This window comes from Homo sapiens, chromosome 10 (genome assembly GCF_000001405.40).
Source record: "Homo sapiens chromosome 10, GRCh38.p14 Primary Assembly".
NCBI lineage: Eukaryota > Metazoa > Chordata > Mammalia > Primates > Hominidae > Homo > Homo sapiens.
In genome coordinates this window covers 115,303,619-115,327,231 of record NC_000010.11, presented here as the reverse complement: position 1 = coordinate 115,327,231, position 23,613 = coordinate 115,303,619, and the positions used below count along the sequence as shown (strand labels likewise).

Genomic DNA, 23,613 nt, shown 5'->3' with positions numbered 1-23,613 from the left:
ATTTGTTTGAGTTCATTGTAGATTCTGGATATTAGCCCTTTGTCAGATGAGTAGGTTGCGAAAACTTTCTCCCATTTTGTAGGTTGCCTGTTCACTCTGATGGTAGTTTCTTTTGCTGTGCAGAAGCTCTTTAGTTTAATTAGATCCCATTTGTCAATTTTGGCTTTTGTTGCCATTGCTTTTGGTGTTTTAGACATGAAGTCCTTGCCCATGCCTATGTCCTGAATGGTAATGCCTAGGTTTTCTTCTAGGGTTTTTATGATTTTAGGCCTAATGTTTAAGTCTTTAATCCATCTTCAATTGATTTTTGTATAAGGTGTAAGGAAGGGATCCAGTTTCAGCTTTCTACATATGGCTAGCCAGTTTTCCCAGAACCATTTATTAAATAGGGAATCCTTTCCCCATTGCTTGTTTTTCTCAGGTTTGTCAAAGATCAGATAGTTGTAGATGTGCAGCGTTATTTCTGAGGGCTCTGTTCTGTTCCATTGATCTATATCTCTGTTTTGGTACCAGTACCATGCTGTTTTGGTTACTGTAGCCTTGTAGTATAGTTTGAAGTCAGGTAGTGTGATGCCTCCAGCTTTGTTCTTTTGGCTTAGGATTGACTTGGCGATGTGGGCTCTTTTTTGGTTCCATATGAACTTTAAAGTAGTTTTTTCCAATTCTGTGAAGAAAGTAATTGGTAGCTTGATGGGGATGGCACTGAATCTGTAAATTACCTTGGGCAGTATGGCCATTTTCATGATATTGATTCTTCCTACCCATGAGCATGGAATGTTCTTCCATTTGTTTGTATCCTCTTTTATTTCCTAGAGCAGTGGTTTGTAGTTCTCCTTGAAGAGTTCCTTCATGTCCCTTTAAGTTGGATTCCTAGGTATTTTATTCTCTTTGAAGCAATTGTGAATGGGAGTTCACTCATGATTTGGCTCTCTGTTTGTCTGTTATTGGTGTATAAGAATGCTTGTGATTTTTGTACATTGATTTTGTATCCTGAGACTTTGCTGAAGTTGCTTATCAGCTTAAGGAGATTTTGGGCTGAGACAATAGGGTTTTCTCGATATACAATCATGTCATCTGCAAACAGGGACAATTTGACTTCCTCTTTTCCTAATTGAACACCGTTTATTTCCTTCTCCTGCCTAGTTGCCCTGGCAAGGTACTGTTTCATAGAAAATTTACTCTGTGACACCACTAATTAATTCACTCAGGTAAAAACAAAATTTATTGAGTGCCCACTACATGTAAAGACTTACCAGAAGATTTAAAGTAAGAAATGGGTTACTGTAACAACTTCATGAAATTTCTGGCCATTTGGAAGAATCATTAAAAAAAAAAAAGTTTTAACATCTGAATAAGACAGCTAAATTTAGCACTCATATCTAACATCTCCCTCACAGATTAATGGTAAAATAATAAGTAAATGTACCAGCAATGATAGGCATTATGGTGACCTACATGAACAAAACTAGAAGGTAGTAATCTATAATACCTCTTGATGATAAAAGAAGTTCCCTAGCAAAATGCCACTCAACCCTCCTTTCCTGAATAAGAAAAATTCTGAAAACAAAGGTTAGTCATAGGGCAGTCAAGAAGCATATCACTGGTATTCCTTCATCCATCTGGTGGAAAGTATAAATCAAGGAAGCCTGACATGGTCTATATATGATGCAGAAAGCCAGTATACTTTAGACCTACCTGCAGAAAAAATATCTGCTGAAAAAAGTCTGGTAATTGTCACACCTTATAACTAATATGGTAGCAATGGCAAAGGAGAAAGTATATTACAGAAAAGGGGACCCAGGCATAATGGCTGTATCAAATAACAAGAAAATGGTATATTAGTAAGCCTATGGTTATGTTCTATTCCCCACTACCAAAAGAGTGTTAGATCGACAGGTAATGTCAGCTTGCACATAAGAGTGTTGAGGTTTACATTGTTGCTTGAAAGGTTCTAATATCATCTAATATCTCAGTAGCTATGGAATATGAATAAAACTAAAGAGAAGTCATCCATTCTATTTTCTCTAAATTTTAAAACCACTCCAGATGGCTCCTCATTTATGGACACACAAACAGAAAAAAATCAAAATAAAATATAATGACAACTCAGCATTTGATATGCAAATAAGTACATAGTTTTGAAAAATAGTTACTCTGCAACAGATGCGCAACATTTAAAAATATCTTTGTGACAATCTTAATAAATTTTAAAAATATACACAGAAATTTAAGACAAAAATTTACCCAAAGCATTTTTCAACACATATACCACTTTAAAAGAAATGGGAATTATCAGATGCTAGAAATGAAGCAGAGATTCAAAATAAGAATAGTAAAGCTAAATTTGAGCTAGCGACCAAATTTTACTATACGTGGAATAGACGAATAAGAACTAGGAGGCATGGGTTCCAAAATCCAGCAGACCAAGAGGATATAATTCTTGGCATCCTAAAGGAAGCAAGCTAAACTGAACCATGTTCATAAAATGATCCTATCAACTGGAGACACTATCTATGAAAAAGGTATTAAAACACATCACAAGCTCTACAAAAAGCAGAAAAGAATTTTAAGTCCCCTGGGATATGTTTATGAAAGAAAAACATAACTTGTGGGAACTTAAAGTATATGTCAGGCTTATATGGCAATCTTAAATTCACATCATATATTTGGTGAATAAACCACCAAGTAAAATATTAATACAAACCTGCTCTGAAAACAGAAAAAGCCCCATAGATATTGTAAAAGCAGATGTAAATGGCCCTTGTAGATACATCCACAACCCAGGTTATACAAATATACTACAAGAAAGGAATTGGTAAAACTTTTTTTACATAAAGGACTAGATAGCATTTTATGCTTTGCAGGACAGTCTCTATCACAACTATTCCTTTCTGCAACTGTAGTGCAAAAGCAAACAAACATAATACACAAATAACTGGGTAGAGTTGTATTTTGATAAAACATTGTTTACGTAAATCTGCAGCACACCAGATTTGGCCTACCGACCTTGGTTTGCCAAACCCTGACATGGAAGAGAAAAAAAAATTCTAAATTAAATCTCAAAATAAAAAATTCAAAAACACCATAAAAACCAGGAGATTAAAAAAAGAGAGAGAGTTGATTTAAACAAAGAATACACATAAAAGATAAAAATAGGTCAGACGCGGTGGCTCACACCTGTAATCCCAGCACTTTGGGAGGCCAAGGCGGGCAGATCACGAGGTCAGGAGATCGAGACCATCCTGGCTAACACGGTGAAACCCCATCGCTACTAAAAATACAAAAAATTAGCCAGGCGTCGTGGCAGGCGCCTGTAGTTCCAGCTACTTGGGAGGCTGAGGCAGGAGAATGGCGTGAACCCGGGAGGTGGAGCTTGCGGTGAGCCGAGATCGCGCCACTGCACTCCAGGCTGGGCAACAGAGACTCTGTCTCAGGAAAAAAAAAGAGACAAAAATATTCAAAAATAATTAAAGATATAAAAAATAACGGGCCAGGCACGGTGGCTCATGCCTGTAATCCCAGCACTTTGGGAGGCCAAGGTGGGCAGATCACCTGAGGTCAGGAGTTGAAGGACAGCCTGGCCAACACAGCAAAACTCTGTCTCTACTAAAAATACAAAATTAGTCAGGTGTGGTGGCACATGCCTGTAATCCCAGCTACTCAGGAGGCTGAGGCAGGAGAATTGCTTGAACCCAGGAGGCGGAGGTTGCAGTGAGCTGAGATTGCGCCACTGCACTCCAGCCTGGGCAACAAGAGTGAAACTCTGTCTCAATAAATAAATGGGAAGGGAAGGGGAGGGGAGGGGAGGGGAGGGGAGGGGAGGGGAGGGAGAAATCATGCCTGAAGAAGAAGGGTATGATGACAATGTCTCATCAAATAGAGAATATCAACAAAGAAATAAAAATTTTTAAGAAAAAAACAAATGAAGTAGAAACGTACAATAACATACACTAGAAGAATTCAACAGAAGATCTGAACTGGTAGAAAAATAATCAGCAAGCTTAAAGATAGACTGACAGATTATATAATCTAAAATACAGAGAGAACTAGGAATGGAGAAAAGTAAGCAGAGCTTGGAAAAACATATGGGACATCATTAATTTTACCATCACATGAATAATAGAAACACTGGAAAGAGAGGAGGGAGAAAGAGAAAAGAAAATAAAAATTATTTGAAAACATCATTTCTGAAAACTCAAATTTGATGAAAAATATTAACTTACACATCCAAGAAACCTAAAAAACTCTAAATAGGACAAACACAAAGAGATCCACAAAAAGACCCATTATAATTAAAATGATGAAAGCAACAAGGACAAAATCTTGAAAGAAGAAAGAGATAAAATCATTTCTCACTTACAAAAAAGCCCAATAAGATTAACAACTGATTTTAAATCAGAAATAATAGAGGCCAGTAAGCAGTATAATAATATATACTCAAAAGAACAATGCTAACTAAGAATCCTCTATCAAGCAAATCTACCTTTAGAAAATTGGAGAAATAATGACATTCCTAAATATTAAAAAATTAGGAGAATGAGATGCTAGAAGGCCAGCCATACAAGAAATACTAAAGGAAGTTGTTCAAGGAAAGCAAGTGACCCAGACGGTAGTTCAACTCCATGCAAAAAGAAAAACAGTACTGGTAATTACTGTGTAATAATAAAAATAGGAAATGCATATTTATTTTCCTTTTTTCTATTACCTGATATTTTTAAGGAATTATTTTTAAATATATGTATATAATGGTATTATTTGTCCTATAACCATAAAAATGTAACATGTTTGCCAATAAAAGCACAAAATAGGTGAGTCAAGAAAACCTGTATTGGGCTAAAGGTATGATACCTGATGGTTTGGGGCCATGGCAACAAATAAAGAAAACCAGAAATGGTAAAAAGATTAATATAATAAAAGCTATAACTATATACTTATCCTCCTTTCATCACTCAAATTATTTAAAAGATATAAAATTATATAAAGTAATAATTTTATTAAAGTACTGTTGGGTCCACAACATATATAGATGTAGTAGCAAAAATAAGACCAAAATGAAGAAAAAGAATAGACCTATATGAATAACATTATTACATCTCACTGGTAGTAATATAAATCTGAAAAATATTTTAACAAGTTAAAATGTATATGTTAAAAGTTTCTAGGTCTTTCATCTCCTTGGTTAAATTTATTCCTAAGTATTTTAATTATTTGTAGCTACTGTAAATGGTATTACCTTCTTGATTTCCTTTTCTCCTAGTCATTGTTCATGTATGAAAATGCTACTGATTTTTGTGTGTTGATTAGGCATTCTGTAACTTTACTGAATTCATTTGTCAGTACTAACAGTTTCTTGATAGAATCTTTATGCTTTTCTACATATAAGATTATGTAACCTGCAAACAGGTACAATTTGACTCCCTTCTTTCCAATTTAGATCCATTTAATTTCTTGCTTTTGCCTAATTGCTCAGTCTGAAGACTTTCAGTACTATGTTAAACAAGAGTGGTGCAAGTGGGCATCTCTGTGTTGTTCCAGTTCTTTAAAAAAAAAAAAAAAAAAAGCTTTCACCTTTCCCTCTTCAGTATTATGATAGCTATGTTCAGACAAGCAAAAACAGGAAATTCATTACCACTAGCCAAGACCTGAAACAGACGCTTCAGGAAGTGAAAGGACAATATTTGCCATCATAAAAACAAATGAAAGTATAAAACTCCCTGACGAAGCAAGGACACAAATAAGAAAGAGAAAGGACTCAAATGCTACCACTACAGAAAACTAAAAAACCACAATGATAAACAATAAGAAAGGAGCAAAGGATATATAAAACAACCATAAATCAATTAACAAAATGCCATAAATAAGCCCTCACATATCAAATAGTAACTTTTAAGGTAAACAAATTAAACTTTCCACTTAAAAGACACAGACTTGCTGACCCTCAAGGTCAGAGATCCCAGAAGAAGGCGCAGGCACCCAACTGTACTGTTCTCCAGTCTCCTTGAGTGATATCTCCAGGGGCAGGAGCGAAGCAGATGAATAGGGGCTGAAGTGAACCCCCAGCAAACCACAGCAGTCCTACATAAGAGGGACCTGATCATTGAAAGAAAAACAAACAGAAAGCAACAACAACAAAAAAAAGGCCCCACAAAAAACCCTATCCAAGGGTAAACAGCCTCAAAGAAAACAGACAAACTGAAACTCAAACTCAAAACTAGACAAACTCAAGAAGATGAGAAAGAATCAACAACAACAACAAAAATGCCAAAAACCCAAAGGCCAAAGCGCCTATTCTCCTCCGAATGATCACAACATCTCTCCAGCAAGGGCGCAGAACTGGACAGACGATGAGATGGACAAATTGACAGAAGTAGGCTTCAGAAGGTGGGTAATAAAAAACTACGCTGAGCTAAAGGAAGCTAAGAACCTTGATAAAAGGTTAGAGGAGCTGCTAACTAGAATAACCAGTTTAGAGAGAAACATAAATATCTGATGGAGCTGAAAAAAAAACAGCACAAGAACTTCATGAAGCAAACACAAGTATCAATAGCCGAAGTGACGAAGTGGAAGAAAAAATCTAAGAGTTTGAAGACCACCTTGCTGAAATAAGGCATGCAGACAAGACTAAAGAAACAAAAGAATGAAAAGAAACAAAGCTTCCAAGAAATATGGGACCTCGTAAAGAAACCAAACTTGCAATTGATTGGAGTACCTGAAGTAGACAGGGAGAATGAAAACAAGCTGGAAAATACACTTCAGAATATTATCCAGGAGAACTTCCCCAACCTAGCAAGGCAGGCCAATATTCAAATTCAGGAAATACAGAGAACATCACTAACACACTCCATGAGAAGATCAACCAAAGACACATAACCATCAGATTCTCTAAGGGCGAAATGAAGGCAAAAATGTCAATGGCAGCCAGACAAAAAGACCAGGTCACCTACAAAGGGAAGCCCAACAGACTAATAGTGGACCTCTCAGCAGAAACCCTACAAGCTAGAGGAGACTAGGGGCCAATATTCAGCATTCTTAAAGAAAATAATTTTCAACCCAGAATTTCATATCCAGCCAAACTAAGCTTAATAAGAAAAGGAGAAATAAAATATTTTCCAGACAAGCAAATGCTAAGGGATTTTGTTACCACCAGGCCTGCCTTGCAAGAGATCCTAAAAGAAGCACTAAATATGGAATGGAAAAGGCAGTACCAACCACTACAAAAACACACCGAGATATAAAGATCAATGACACTAATGAAGAAACTGCATCAACTAGTGTGCAAAATAACCAGATAGCATCATGATGACAGGATCAAATTCACACATAACAGTATTAACCTTAAATGTAAATGGGCTAAATCCCCCAATTAAAAGACACAGACTTGCAAACTGGATAAAGAGTCAAGACCAATCAGTGTGCTGTATTCAGGAGACCCATCTCATAGGCAAAGACACACATAGGCTCAAAATAAAGAGATGGAGGAAAATTTACCAAGCAAATGGAAAGTTAAAAAAAAAAAAAGCAGGGGATGCAATACTAGTCTCTGACAAACAGACTTTAAACCAACAAAGATTTAAAAAGACAAAAAAAAAGGCATTACATAATGATAAAGAGAACAATTCAACAAGAAGAGTTAACTATTCTAAATACATATGCACCCAATACAGGAGCATCCAGATTCATAAAACAAGTTTGTAGAGACCTACAAAGAGACTTAGACTCCCACACAATAATAGTGGGACACTTTAACACCCCACTGTCAATATTAGACAGATCGAGACAAAAAATTAACAAGGATATTCAGGACTTGAACTCAGCTCTGGATCAGGTGGACCTAATAGACTTCTACAAAACTCTCCACCCCAAATCAACAGAATATACATTATTCTCAGTGCCACATGGCACTTATTCTAAAATTGACCACATAATTGGAAGTAAAACACTCTTCAGCAAATGGAAAAGAATTGAAATCATTACAAAGTCTCTCAGACAACAGGGCAATCAAATTAGAACTCGGGATTAAGAAATTTACTCAAAACCACACACTTACATGGAAATTGAACAACCTGCTCCTGAATGACTCTTGGGTAAATAACAAAACTAACGCAGAAAAGAAGTTATTTGAAAACAATGAGAACAAAGAGACAAAATACCAGAATCTCTGGGACACAGCTAAAGGAGTGTTCAGAGAAAAATTTATAGCACTAAATGCCCACATGAGAAAGCTGGAAAGATCTCAAATCGACACCCTAACATCACAACTAAAAGAACTAGAGAAGCAACAGCAAACAAATCCAAAAGCTAGCAGAAGACAAGAAATAACTGAGATTAGAGCAGAACTAAAAGAGATAGAGACATGAAAAACCCTCCAAAACATCAATGAATTCAGGAGCTGGTTTTTTGAAAAACTAAGAAAATAGAGAGAATGCTAGCTAGACTAATAAAGAAGAAAATAAAGAAGAATCATATAGACACAATAAAAAAATGATAAAGGGGATATGACCACTGACCCCACAGAAATATAGACTACCATCAGAGAATACTATAAACACCCCTATGCAAATAAACTAGAAAACCTAGAAGAAATGGATAAGTTCCTGGACACATACACACACCCTCCCAAGACTAAACCAGAAAGAAGCTGAATCCCTGAATAGACCAGTAACAGTTCTGAAATTGAGGGAGTAATTAATAGCCTACCAACCAAAAAAAGCCCAGGACCAGACAGATTCACAGCCAAATTCTACCAGAGGTACAAAGATGACCTAATACCATTCCTGCTGAAACTATTCCAAACAACTGAAAGGGAGAGACTCCTCTCTAACTAATTTTATAAAGCCAGCATCAACCTGACACCAAAACCAGGAAGAGACACAACAAAAAAAGAAAATTCTGGCCCGTTTCCCTGATGAATATCGATGTGAAAATCCTCAATAAAATACTGGCAAACCGAATCCAGCAGCACATCAAAATACTTATCCACCAGAAGTCAACTTCATCCCTGGGATGCAAGGCTAGTTCAACATATGCAAATCAATAAACGTAACTCCTCGCATAAACAGAACCAAAGCCAAAAAGTACACAATTATCTCAATAGATGCAGAAAAGGCCTTTGATAAAATTCAAAATCCTTTCATGTTAAAAACTCTCACTAAACTAGGTATTGATGGAACACAGCTCGATAATAGGAGCTTCTTATGACAATCCCACAGCAATATCATATTAAATGGGCAAAAGCTGGAAGCATTTGCTTTGAAAACCAGTACAAGACAAGAATGCCCTCTCTCACCACTCCTATCCAACATGGTACTAGAAGTTCTGGCAAGGGCTATCAGGTAAGAGAAAGAAATAAAGGGTATTCAAACAGGAAGAGAAGAAGTCAAGTTTTCTTTGTTTGCAGATGACATGATTTTAAGTTTAGAAAACCCCATCATTTCAGCCCAAAAACTACTTAAACTGATAATCAACTTCAGCAAAGTCTCAGGATACAAAATCAATTTGCAAAAATCACCAGCATTCCTTTACACCAACAATACACAAGGAGAGAGCCAAATCATTAATGAACTCCCATTCACAATTGTTACAAAGAGAATAAAATACCTAGAAATAGAGCTAACAAGGGATGTGAAGGACCTCTTCAAGGAGAACTACAAAGCAAGCACTGCACAATGAAATAAGACAGGACATAAACAACTGGAAAAACATTCTATCTCATGGAGAGGAAGAATCAATATCGTAAAAATGGCCACACTGCCCAAAGTAATTTATAGATTCAGTGCTATTCCCATCAAGCTACAATTGACATTCTTCACAGAATTAGAAAAAACTACTTTAAATTTCATATGGAATTAAAGAAGACCCCATATAGCCAAGACGATCCTAAGCAAAAAGAACAAAGCTGGAGACATCATGCTACCTGACTTCGAACTATACTACAAGACTACAGTAACCAAAACAGATGTAGACCAATGGAACAGAACAGAGACCTCAGAAATAACACCACACATCTACAACCATCTGATCTTCAACAAACCTGACAAAAGCAAGCAACGGGGAAAGGATCTCCTATTCAATAAATGGTACTGGGAAAACTGGCTAGCCATATGCAGAAAACTGAAACTGGACCCATTCCTTACACCTTATATAAAAATTAACTCAAGATGGATTAAACAGTTAAATGTAAAACCCAAAACCATAAAAAACCCTAGAAGAAAACCTAGGCAATAACATTTAGGACATAGGCATGGGCAAAGACTTCATAATGAAAATCCCAAAAGCAGCTGCAACAAAAGTCAAAATTGACAAATAAGATGTAATTAAACTAGAGAGTTTCTGCACAGCAAAAGAAACTTATCAACAGCATGAACAGGCAACCTACAGAATAGGAGAAAATTTTTGCAATCTACCCATCTGACATAGGTCTAATATCCAGAATTTACAAGGAACTTAAACAAATTTACAAGAAAAAAATGAACAACTCCGTAAAAAACTGGGCAAAGGATATGAACAGACACTTCTCAAAAGAAGACATTTACACAGCCAACAAACATATGAAAAAAAGCTCAACATCACTGATCATTAGAGAAATGCAAATCAAAACCACAATGAGATACCATCTCACACTAGTCAGAATGGCGATTATTAAAAAGTCAAGAAACAATAGATGTTAGCGAGGCTGTGGAGAAAGAGGCTTGTTTTTACACTGTGATTCCTCAAGGATCTAGAACCAGAAATACCATTTGACCCAGCAATCCTATTACTGGGTATGTACATAAAGGAATATAAATCATTCTACTATAAAGACACATGCACATGTATCTTTATTATAGAACTACTTGCAATAGCAAAGTCATGGAACCAACCCAAGCGCCCATTAATGATAGACTGGATATAGAAAATGTGGTTCGTATACACCATGGAATACTGCATAGCCATAAAAAGTAATGAGATCATGTCCTTTGCAGGGACATGGATGAAGCTGGAAGCCATCATCCTCAGCCAACTAACACAGGAACAGAAAACGAAACACTGCATGTTCTCACTCCAAAGTGGGAGTTGAACAATGAGAACACGTGGACACAGGGAGGGGAACAACATGCACCAGGGCCTGTTGCCGGGCTGGGGGTGAGGGGAAGAAACTCAGAGGATGGGTCAATAGGAGCAGCAAACCACCATGTTGCACATATACTTATGTAACCTGCACGTTCTGCACATGTATCCCAAAACTTAAACTAAATAACAAAATATTAAAAAAGAAATGAAAGCTAATCATGATATTCCATGAATTCATTTAGCCTATCTAATGATTCTAAACTGAATACCACCTGCATAAACTGAGATAGATATAGTCTATGGAATAATTTTTTATCTTTGACATTTTAGTCTCATTTTCATTCTGCTTTTTTCCTAAAGCTAAATTTTCTTTATTATAAGAACAAAAACTCCTTCTTGGATCCCTTAAGCAGAAACTGAAATTGTTTCCATTACATTATTATTACCTGGACACTGGATAAAGGACCACTCATAGTTCTTTTCTTTGGGGCAAAGATTGGTGTCAAGAACCATCTCACTGTGGTGCATTCCAATAAGCTTCATTGGTCCCCGTGAAGAACCTTCAATGCAATGTCCTCTTCCTGTATTACTAGGATCATTGCACCAGCCACATCCAGGCTGTTCCAAACACTGTCCACAGGTTCTCAATCCAGAACAATTTTGAGCTGCGTGACAGGAACATTGACAAATATGTTAACATGACTATATATTCAAACAGAATTATAGGCTAATAAAAAATAAATATGATCATGATAAAAACCATGAAAGGTCATCTATAGTTAATGCAAACATTTTTGCAATAATACTTAAGAGACAGCAATTACTAAAAGCAAATAAAACATACATCACAAACAAAGAGGAGATAAACAGGCCACCACAGGAGTGAAAAAAGGTGTGGTTAACCATGACATGGAGAAAAATAAAATCAGTAATTGAAGACCCCTGAAAATTTTGGCAGTACTAGAACTTTTAGGGCCCTACAGACCACCTTTATTATTGTCTGTGATATAAATCCATGTTAGCCATTCTTATTGTGCCTCGTAAGGACATTCAATGAAAGAACTCTGTATTCTGCCTGTGGACATCCAGTATAAGTGACGTCTGCCCATTTCCTGAGATTGCTGGGCTATATTTGGACTACCTATTATGGACAATGCTCCTCACAAGGGTCCAAGATACTAGTATTTGGCTACTATGTGATGAATAAACTTAATCTCATCCAAAAAGCCAAGCTGGATGGGAACATGAAAACCTGGTACTCTCCTTCAGCCAGGCAACCAGAGCACACATTCTAGTTTTCAGGGCTATAAAATAACACTCCATGACTCATTTGCAGATACTCAACCTTTGTTGTTGTTGGTTTTTTGTCTTTTTGTTTTTTGATTCAGGTATAACCTATGAGACTCAACAAAGCCTATGAATATGGTGAAGTTTGCCAAAGATAAGCAGACATTATAGTCAAACACCACAGACATAGCCATTGCTATGAAATGTTTTAAACCTTTACTTAACAACCAAAGCATCTTACATTAAGCTGAGAGTCTTTTCCTATTTACATAGTTACTTTTACTATTATTTAGCTAGGAATATTATATTTTGTCTTGGGGATTGTTTATAAATAGAAGATACTGACAGACATACACGGCATCATGAATGATGTCTTCTAGTCACATGAAAGAAAAAACAATGGAAGAAAAAATGGTAGATTTCTGGCAGACTCAATTTCATTGTATAATGTTAATGGCTCAGCTGCCACTCAGTGTTTAAAACAAAAACATTCCTAAGAAAACTACAAACAATGGCACAAATTTCTCAGTGAATATCAGGAACTTGATATCGTTGACTCTGCACAGATAATAGAATACTGGATTTAAAAAATTTACCAATTATAACATTATTTGTAGTTGTCAATCCTTTGAGAGGTAAGGATCTCATGCCTTCATAGGAAGGTAGAGAGTACGTATCACCTCCTGTATTTTCTTAATAAGAAATAAAAAAGGAAGAATACTCTTTGAGTCATTAAATAAAAGTGGCTAATGTTAAATTTGTAGATAAATAATTCATTGACACAGTCTTCCTTTAAAATCTTACATTTTTTCAACAGTACACAGCGCTAAATGACACAGTTTTAAAAATCCTTAGATAACTGAACATTTCCTATTTACCATGTCCCTCCTTAGTTTTGTTGGTTTAAAACATTTATTGTATATCTATGATTACAGTTAGCCCACAGTATTGTTAACTAGTTTATTCTAATTGTTTTCAAAAGTATATTGGGTTACTATGCTATCAATAGGACATAAGGGAAAATATCTAATTAGTAATATTGGCTTGGCATTCCAATTATTTACTATCATGTAATGATTTGTATCATATATCACGTGAGGAGAAAGTAAATCTTTAGTGGGACTCACCCTGAATAAATCAAATTTTCTAATATTGTTATACAGGTATTTCCTAAGAAAGTAAGTTTTATTTTAAAACTATCTTTTCTTAAGAAAGGATCATGATACCTGCTTTAGCAACAGCCAGATTTTACCTGTGGACACCACCTATTGACCTAAAGTCTGAATTGTTCAACCCAGTGAATAAAATACTGGGGAAAGAATAAATAAATAAATAAATAAGTACACGCCACTGGCGAATGAAATAAGCTTCATGATACCTCTGCCATTCCAACCCCACAGGAGACAGTGCACCTACTTATAAATGGAGCACATCACTACTACAACCAGTATCTGAGAAAGCCACCATGAAAAGGCTCTCTATGACCAAGGAACTCATACAGAGCCTTCATGACTGAAAGCACCAAGAGCCAAATTAGATTAAAATAAACTACAAACATTAAAGTCACATTCTCAAGGGGAAAAAAGAAATGAAAAAAGCACAGTTGAATCAAAAATAAATTCAAAAATAATTATAAGAACCTACAGAAATAAGAAGGAACCAGAAAAATAATTCTGGCAATATGAAAAAATAGGGTTTTATAATACTGCCAAAAAGATCACACTAGCTCTTCAGCAATAGATCCAAACCAAGATGAAATCCTTGAAATGCCAGATAAAGAATTCAGAAGGTTGACTACTATGTTACTCAAGGAGATAAAAGAGAAAAGTGAAAACCAACATAAGAAAATGTAAAAAAACAATTCAGGATATAAATAAAAATTTTAACAAAATAATACATTTTAAAAAAAGAAACCAACTTCTGGAAATGAAAGGCACATTTAGAAAATTGCAAAATGCAAGTGGATAGTTTTAACAATACTTTGTCTTAGACAAATACTACTCTAAGACAAAGTAGAAGAAATAATTTCAGACCTCATAGACAAAGCTTTTGAATTATACCAATCAAACAAAAATAAAGAAAAAATAATTTAAAAAAGGAACAAAGTCTCCAAGAAATATGAGATTAGGTAAAACAGCCAAACCTAACAATCACTGGTGTTCCTGAGGTAAAAGAAAGAGAAAAACATCTGAAAAACTTATTTGAGGGAATAACTTGAGAAAAACACCCCTGGCCTTGCTAGAAATGTAGACACCCAAATACAAGAAGCTCAAAGAGCTCCTGAGAGATTCATTGCACAAACAACATTACCAATGTATATAGTCATCATTCTCTCTGAAGTCAACATGAATAAAAGAATTCTAAGAGCACTAAGACAAAAGTATCAGATAATCTATAAAGAAAAACTTATCAGACTAATAGCAGACTTCTCAGCAGAAACCTTACAGGCCAGAAGGGATCAAGGTTCTCTCTTTACCCTCCTTAAGCAGAATAACTGCCAGCCAATAATTTTGTATCCAGCAAAACTAACTTTCATAAATGAAGGAGAAATAAAGTCCTTTTCAGACAAGCAAATGCTAAGGATTTTGTCACTACCAGACCAGCCCTACAAGAAAAGCTAAAAAGAGTTCTAAATCTTAAAATGAAAGGTCAATATGTACCAGAATAGAACCTCTTGAAAGTATAAAACTCACAGGGCCTATAAAGTAATAATACAATGAAGAAAACAAAGTAACTAGTAACAATCAACATGATGACTAGAAATGTACCCCACATCTCAAAATTAATGTTACATGTAAATGGTATAAATGCTCCACATAAAAGACATAGACTGGTAGAATGGATGAAAAACCACAAAGCAAATATCTGCTATCTTCAAGAGACACATCTAACATTTAAAGATTCTTATAGACTCAAGGTAAAGGGGTGGAAAAAGATATTCAATGCCAATGGAAACCAAAAGCAAGCAGGAGTAGGTATTCTTGTATCAGAGAAAACAGACTTTAAAGGAACAACAGTAAAGAAAAAAAAAAGAAGTTCATTATATAATGATAAAAGTATCAATGCAACAAGAAGATATTACAATCTAAAATATATATGCACCTAACACTAGAGCTGCCAAATTCATAAAACAATCAATACTAGACCTAAGAAAGAGATAGACAGCAGCACAATAATGGTGGAGGACTTCAACACTCCACTAGACAGATCATCAAAGCAGAAAGTCATCAAAGAAACACTGGACTTAAATTACACTCTAGAACAAATGGACTTAACAGATATTAACAGAACATTCTACCCAAGAACTGCAGAATATGCATTCTTCTCATCAGCACATGGAATATTTTCCAAGATAGACCATATGACAGGCCACAAAACAAGTCTCAATAAGTTATAAAAAATCAAAATCGGCTGGGCGCAGTGGCTCACGCCTGTAATCCCAGCACTTTGGGAGGACAAGGTGGGTGGATCATGAGGTCAGGAGTTTGAGACCAGCCTGACCAACATGGTGAAACCGGTTTCTACTAAAAATACAAAAAGCAGCCAGGTATGCTGGCATGTGCCTGTAATCCCAGCTACTTGGGAGGCTGAGGCAGGAGAATTGCTTGAATCCGGGAGGTGGAGGTTGCAGTGAACCAAGATTGTGCCACGGCACTCCAGCCTGGGCCACAGAGGGAGACTCTGTCTCAAAAAAAAAAAAAAAAAATCTAAATCATATCAAGTATCTTCTCAGACCACAGTAGAATGAAACTAGAAATCAATTCCAAAAGGAACCTTCAAAACTATGTAAATACATGAAAATTTAACAATCTGCTCCTGAACGATTTTGGGGTTAACAATTAAATCAAGATGGAAAGTTTTAAATTCTGCAAAAAGAACAATAACTGTGACATAAGTTATCTAAACCTTGAATATAGCAAAAGTGGTGCTAAAAGTTTATAGTACTAAATGCCTGCATCAAAAAGTCTGAAAGATCACACACTGACAACCTAATGTCACATCTCAAAGAACTAGAGAAACAAGAACAAACCAAATCCAAAGCCAGCAGAATAAAATAACAAATCTCAGAGTAGAACTAAATAAAATTGAAAGCAACAAAATACAAAAGACCAATGAAATGAAAACTAGTCTTTTTGAAAAGATAAAATTGATAGACCATTAGCTAGATTAACAAAGAAGAGGATTCAAATAAGTTTAATTAGAAATGAAAATGGAGACATTACAAACAACATCACAGAAATACAAAAGATCATTTGAGACAACTCTGAACCCTTCTATGCATACAAACTAGAAAATCTAGTGGAAATGGAAAAATTCCTGGAAACACACAACTCTCCTAGCTTAAATTAGGAAGAAATCAAAATCCTGAACAGATCAATAACAAGCAGCGGGACTGAATCAGTAATACCAATTTGCCAGCCAAAAAAAGTCAAGGGCCAGGGGATTCACAGCCGAATTATACTAGATATTCAAAGAATTGGTACCAATCCTACTGAAACTGTTGCAAAAGACTGAGAAATAGGAAATTTTTCCTAACTCATTCTATGAAGCCAGTATCACACTGACAGCAAAGTCAGGGAAGAACATAAGAAAACTACAGACTAATATCCCTGATGAACATAAATGAAAAAATCCTCAACAAAATACTAGCAAGCTGAATCCAGTGGCACATCAAAAAGATAATTCATCATGATCAAGTAGGTTTCATCCCAGGGATGGTTCAACATATGCAAGTCAATAAATATGATTCATCATATAAAATGAATTAAAAACAAAAGTGATATGATAATCTCAAATAATTACAGGAAAAGCATTCATTAAAATCCAGCATATCTTTATAATTAAAAACCCTCAACAAACTAGGCAGAGAAGGAACATACCACAAAATAATAAAAGCCATATATGACAAACCCACAGCAAACATAACAGTGAATGGGGAAATGTTGAACGCATTACCTCTAAGTACTAGAAGAAGACAGGTAGGCCCACTTTCGTCACTTCTATTTAATATAGTACTGGAAATCCTACCCAGATCAATCAGGCAAGAGAAAGAAATAAAGGGCATCCAAATAGGAAACAAGGAAGTCAAACTACCCTTTTTTGCCAATGATATGATTGTATACCTAGAAAACCCTAAAGACTATGAAGTGATTTTATACTGTATACCTAGAAAACCCTAAAGACTTTGATATGATTGTATACCTAGAAAACCCTAAAGAGCCCTCCAAAAGACTCCTAGATTTGATAAATCAATTCAGTAAAGTCTAAGGTTACAAAAACAATGTACACTGATCAGTAGCACTGCTATACACCAAAAATGACCAACCTGAGAATCAAATCAAGAACTCAACCCCTTTTACAACAGCTGCAAAAATAAAATACCTAGGAATATACTTAACCAAGCAGGTAAACTATCCCTACAAGGAGAACTACAAAACACTGCTGAAAGAAATCATAGATGACAAAAACAAATGGAAACACATCCCACACTCAGGGGTTAGAAGAACTGATATCATGAGAATAATCATACTGCCCAAAACAATCTGCAGGTTCAGTGCACTTCCAGTCAAATCACCAACATCACTTCTCACAGAATTAGAAAAAATAATCCTAAAATTCATATAGAACCAAAAAAGAGCCTAAATAGCCAAACCAATCCTAAGTAAAAATAACAAATCTGGAGGCATCATATTACCCAACTTCAAATTATACTATAAGACTATAGTAATCAAAACATCATAGTATTTGTATAAAAGTAGATACATAGAAAAATGGGGATACACAGAAAAATGGAACAGAATAGAGAACCCAGATATAAAGCCAAATACTTACAACCAACTGATTTTTTGGCAAATTATACAGAAACATAAATTGAGGAAAGGACACCCTATTCAATAAATGGTGCTGGGATAGCTGGATCAACATATGTAGAAGAATGAAACTGAATCTATGTCTCTCACCATATACAAAAATCAACTCAAGATGGATTAAAGATTTAAATCTAACACCTGAAACCATAAAAATTCTGGAAGAAACCTCAGGAAAACTCTTCTGGACATTGGCATAAGCAATTTATGACTAAGACCCCAAAATCAAATGCAACAAAAACAAAAATACATAAAAGGAACCTAATTAAACTCAAAAGCTTCTACACAGCAAAATAGATAATATATGAGAAACCTTATGCAGGCTATGCTATTGTTCCTAAAGTTATGTGTAGTATAAGGACTTGTATGAAATATGGTTAATTGGAGCAATCCTGTTTATTTATTTTTGGCTTTTCAAAAGATCAAGTTGTAAAATATTCAAAATGGTTTTTCAAATGGGTAAGAATATTAAAAAATCAATCTGTAAGAAATTGTCATCAAATTTTAAAAATGATTACCTTCCTTAATTGTTGAAGTGTTTAAATTGAACACATAAACTTACAAATACTGAAAAAAATACAGATTTGTGAGATAACACCTTATCCTCAAGTTGTGTATTATTCTATTTTTACTATACAAATTTAATTGAATTTTCATTTGAACCTTTATACATTTGGGACTAAATCTCCTATTTTTCTTTAAACATTGCCCTGGAATTCATTTTCACAAGTAGAATATCTGTCTACCCAAAATATATCAATTACTAATAATGCCAATTATTAGCAAAGCTTTCTCAGAAACCATTAGTCAAAAATTATCTTAAAAAACATTTCCTCTCTTCAATTCGTGAATTTTAAACAATGATATCACAATATTATGACTGAAAAATACTGGAGAATATTGCAAAATCCTATTTGTTTCTCATTTCCAAAGAAAAGTTTGCCTTAATTTCTATTTACCAGTAAACCTCAAATGAACATTGAGGCAACTTTCTGAAGGCAACTAAAAGACCACTTCCAATACAAAGTTTTGTTGATAAGTATAAAAATATTTTAAAGACTCAAATGTTAAATGAATAGACGTGTAGTAGAAAACGATAATGTAAATATATATAATTTATCCTGAAAAGTCATAAAGTTAAAGTCAAAAGCACACTAAAACCATTGCCAAGAAGCTGACACCTATGAAAGAGTAACACTCAGCTACTTTTAACTTGTATTTTGAACAAGAATGTCATTTTACTCCTAGTCCCTATTGTACTTCCTGGCATTTCTTCACTACTCTACAAATGTCTGTTGGTTAAAAACACGGGAAAAATTAAACATAATGAAGGAGTTCATTATTCACAAACAGTGGATCACTGCCAGGTAACTACTTCTTTCAGAAATACAAAGTCTCCTTGAGGCAATGTTCAATGCCCTTCTTCCCCACAACGACACACAGGGTGTATAATAAAAAACCTGTGGAGGCCGGGCGCAGTAGCTCACACCTGTAATCCCAGCATGTTGGGAGGCCAAGGTGGGCAGATTACTTGAAGTCAGGAGTTCAAGACCAGCCTGGCCAACATGGTGAAACCCCGTCTCTACTAAAAACACAAAAATCAGCCAGGCATGGGGCAGGCACCTGTAGTCCCAGCTACTCAGGAGGCTGCAGCAGGAGAATTGCTTCAACCCAGAAGGCGGAGATTGCACTGGGCCAAGATTGTGCCACTGCACTCCAGCCTGGGTGACAGAGCGAGACTCTGTCTCAAAAAAACAAAAACCAACAAAAAAACCCTGTGAAATAGAAATAACTGTTAGAGTAGTATTGGACATTATCAGCACAAATGATCTATACACAGCTTCAGGAAAGGCGAACATGACAACAGAACAGAGAAAGGAACTATAGAGGAGAAAAAATAGCAAACTAGACTATCTGCTCAAGGAACAAATGGTAGAAGTAGACAATGAAGCCTCTATAATAATCAAGAAAACAAAAGAAGCAAAAGATCAAAAACAAGAGAGACAATGGCAGACCTGAAGACCTGACTTATGCTTGCCTAGCTGACAATCCCACCAGCGGTATTTAGTTATCATTATTTGATTTGTCAGTGGTAGAATTTAATTCATACCTGTGTTAAAATAGTGAATTATGTTTCATTAACCTTCTCAAAAAAAATCAGTTACAACAATTTTTATATTTGCACTGTATAATTATATTGTTCTCAAAAAACTTATTTCAAATAAATAAAAAGTCTCAAAGGATTATAAAAAGAAAAATAGCTAAATATTAGCAAACAAAAATACAAAAAATGCAAACAGAGTTAAGAAATATTAAGATATATCTAGAAGTTCCAGCAACTATTTTAATATTTGCAACAAGAGTAAAGAGAAGAAAACATGTATTTTAAGACATTACACAACATTTTTAGCAGATGAAGAAACAAACTACTCTTCAGATTTAAAGAGCCAATGAGAAAATCTAAAAAATCTAAAAATCCTTTTCTTCAATGAAAAACTGTAAAAAAAAATTAATTTTAAAGATCCACATCAATCACTGAAAAACTGAATTAAAACAATGAAAAATTTTAGAATGCCAACAAGAAAGAAAAAAATCTTAAAAGCTCCCAAAGGGGGGATAAAAAAGATGTTCCACAAAGGAATGAAAATTAGATTGGCATTGGAATTCTTATCCACAACACTGAGTGCTAAAGAGGTTCCAAGGAAAAAATTATTTGGAATACCACATTTAGCCATTTTATCATTCAAGTGAAAATGAAAAGTACACTTTTAGACATGCAAAGACTCAAAAGTTTATGTCACAATTTATTTGAAAGAAATTACTAAAGATTATTTACCAATGGTTAAAATGGTAAAATTTATGTTATGTGTGTTATACCACCAAAAAAAATTGTAAAAAAACAAAAAAGTAGAACAAATGAGAAGGAATGGGATATAAGAAAAATTTGTGACAACATAAGCTTAATTCTAAATAATTTTTAGAAAGTTGTTAAGAGTATAAGAGCTTAGACTTTCACAAACCAGTTTTTCCCTACTTTCTAGCCTCTTTTATTGTGAAATATAACACACATACAATTACATAAAGAAAAATATAAGATTAATAAATTCCTATAAACACACACTCTGGACCTGCACAAAGCCTAGAAGTGGAGCATTGCCTCTCTTGTTTCATTTCCTAATCAGCACCCCTAAACTTCCCCCAGCAACATCCTCTAGCTGACATTTTTGAGAATACACTTTTGCCTTACTCTATAGTTTTACCACCTAAATACGCATTTCTAAACAATACAGTGCCGTTTTGACTATTTTTTAACTTTATACCTAAATGTAGTCAAACAGTATGTAATCTTTCATGTCTAGCTTCTTTCATTGAACAATAATGTTTGTCGAGAGACAAGCATGACTATTGAGGCAGGAGAAGGTGCGCATTGTCTCATTCCCCACAAGTCTTCAACTCTTGTATTCAACTCTCCTGGGCAGCTGGCTCCTAGTTTTGAAATGTTTTGCTATGCACAAAGGCCATTTTATGCCTGCAACCACCACACTGCCACCCACTTGATCAGGTACAACACCCCCATTCCTTACCACAATCCCTAAAAAAGGATATCAACAGGGAGCTCAACTCATAATACATCCAACCATGTCCATCCCAGGCATACCTCTCCACTTCATGCCAAGAGCCTGAAGGAACAAATGAACACAACAGCTGCAGCTGGGATTCCAGCCTGCATTGTGTTACTGTTTTGCCTTAGCTCTTCAAGTAACAGTGGTGCCCACTATGGACCAAATACATATTTGACTGGACCACTGAGAGTGATGAAAGGCCTAGAAAGTCAGTAAGTCTCTACGTGCATTGCCTTATGCAGTGGCTACCTCTAAATGGGAAGATGACTCATCTGAGCAAGAAGGACTAGTATCAACTGGGTGACCATGTTGTCCAAGGGCCATACACTTACAGGCTTCAACATACTAGATTTACCACCAACAGGGATCTCAGAATTATGAAGTTACTGTGATAGAAGTTATTAAGAAATTATTTTAGGCAGATAGAGAAAAAAGGAGTCCTTGGAAAGTTTTCATTTCTTTTTAAAACACCTCCAAAAGTGTTTCTTGTCTAACAGAAAAGTCCCAGCTCTTAGAGCCAAGCCGGCAACCTTTAGTATGCATATGCAAGCCATTAGAAACTGGGTCCACTCAACATGGCGATTCCCACCTTTGTCCTCTTGCCCTTGCCCCACATGTATTTGGGAATATGGCCGCCCCACATATCCCCATGTGTGTAGAACATCATGGTGCCCTGCATTTGCATATTAAAAGGCTAGGGTGGGAAGGCCAGTTTTTTTCCGAGGGCTACCTGAATGAAAGCCTGGTCAAACCAATCCCCTAAGCTCTATGCAAATCAGACACCCCCTCCTCCAGCCTCTACATATACCTGCCTGGTACGCACCACACTTGGGGTTTCCTCTTTCGGCTGTGGAGCCCCCATCCCTCTGTCTCTGTAAGAGCGAACCTTCTGCCTTTTCTTTTCTTTCTTGCCTATTAAACTCTCTGCTCCTTAAAACCACTCCACGTGTGTCCGTATTGTTTAATCTAATTCAACGTGAGACAAGAGCCCTGGTGTTCCTCCACTCATGGGAGCCATATCATTACTATAATTGCTAACTAGAATGGGTTGCCTCTCAGAGGAAAAACAAGAAAGCTCAAAGGAGGGAAGGAAGAGTGGACGGGCAGAAAATAAATATTGCTGCTGGGATAGTTGTTTGTATTTTCATCAGTCAGGCTGCCAGTGGCTGCTCCTATGGAGGGACTGCAAGAAAGTCAATGATCTAATAAGAAAGTCCTGAAGATACTTATGAACGTTATAGAAACAAGCTGTGTTATGGCCTACACTCCTAGGAAAACTCCAAGTGGCTGTTTCCTGGAGAGAAAGGGTCAGAGGGAAACCAGTGGACTGATGCAAAAACCTAAAATGGACCTTTGACCTTTAAAAGTTTCAAATATGACAAATGAAGAGAGATGATGATAGTGGAGAACTTAGGGCTGTTAGGAGAAAGGAATTAGAATCGGGATAAAGATCCCCTGGAGAGAATTCCTGTATAGAGAGGGAAACTGTTGCTTTCCCTATCTCATTGAATACATTTCAACCACAACATATTCCTGAGTTTAATAGATACACCAGACTCCAAGTGGCTGTTATTTTGTCTCCTTTGACTGAACTGTAACTACAGTTTCTTTGGAACCTGGATCAAACACACCAACATGTTAATTAGATTCACTCATTTCAAATCCTGTTTACTGCAGGTTAAAGTATTGGAAGAAAAAAAAATCCAAGGAGTCTTGCTCCTTTTTTCTTTGTGAGCTTCCTGGACACTCAGATGTTGAGAAGAAGGGAACTGAAAAAGAAGCAAAAG

At 35.7% G+C, this 23,613-nt stretch overlaps 1 protein-coding gene across 11 annotated transcripts in view; it reads right to left on the bottom strand.

Annotated features, from left to right (window-relative positions):
* The window catches only part of ATRNL1 (attractin like 1), an 855,635-nt gene that overhangs the window by 621,768 nt on the left and 210,254 nt on the right, over positions 1–23,613 (bottom strand). For all 11 annotated transcript variants that reach the window (NM_207303.4, XM_011539587.2, XM_011539588.3 and 8 more), the window contains one exon: positions 11,496–11,714. In NM_207303.4, coding sequence (NP_997186.1) covers positions 11,496–11,714 — 219 coding nt within the window. The remainder of the gene's footprint in view (positions 1–11,495; positions 11,715–23,613) is intronic.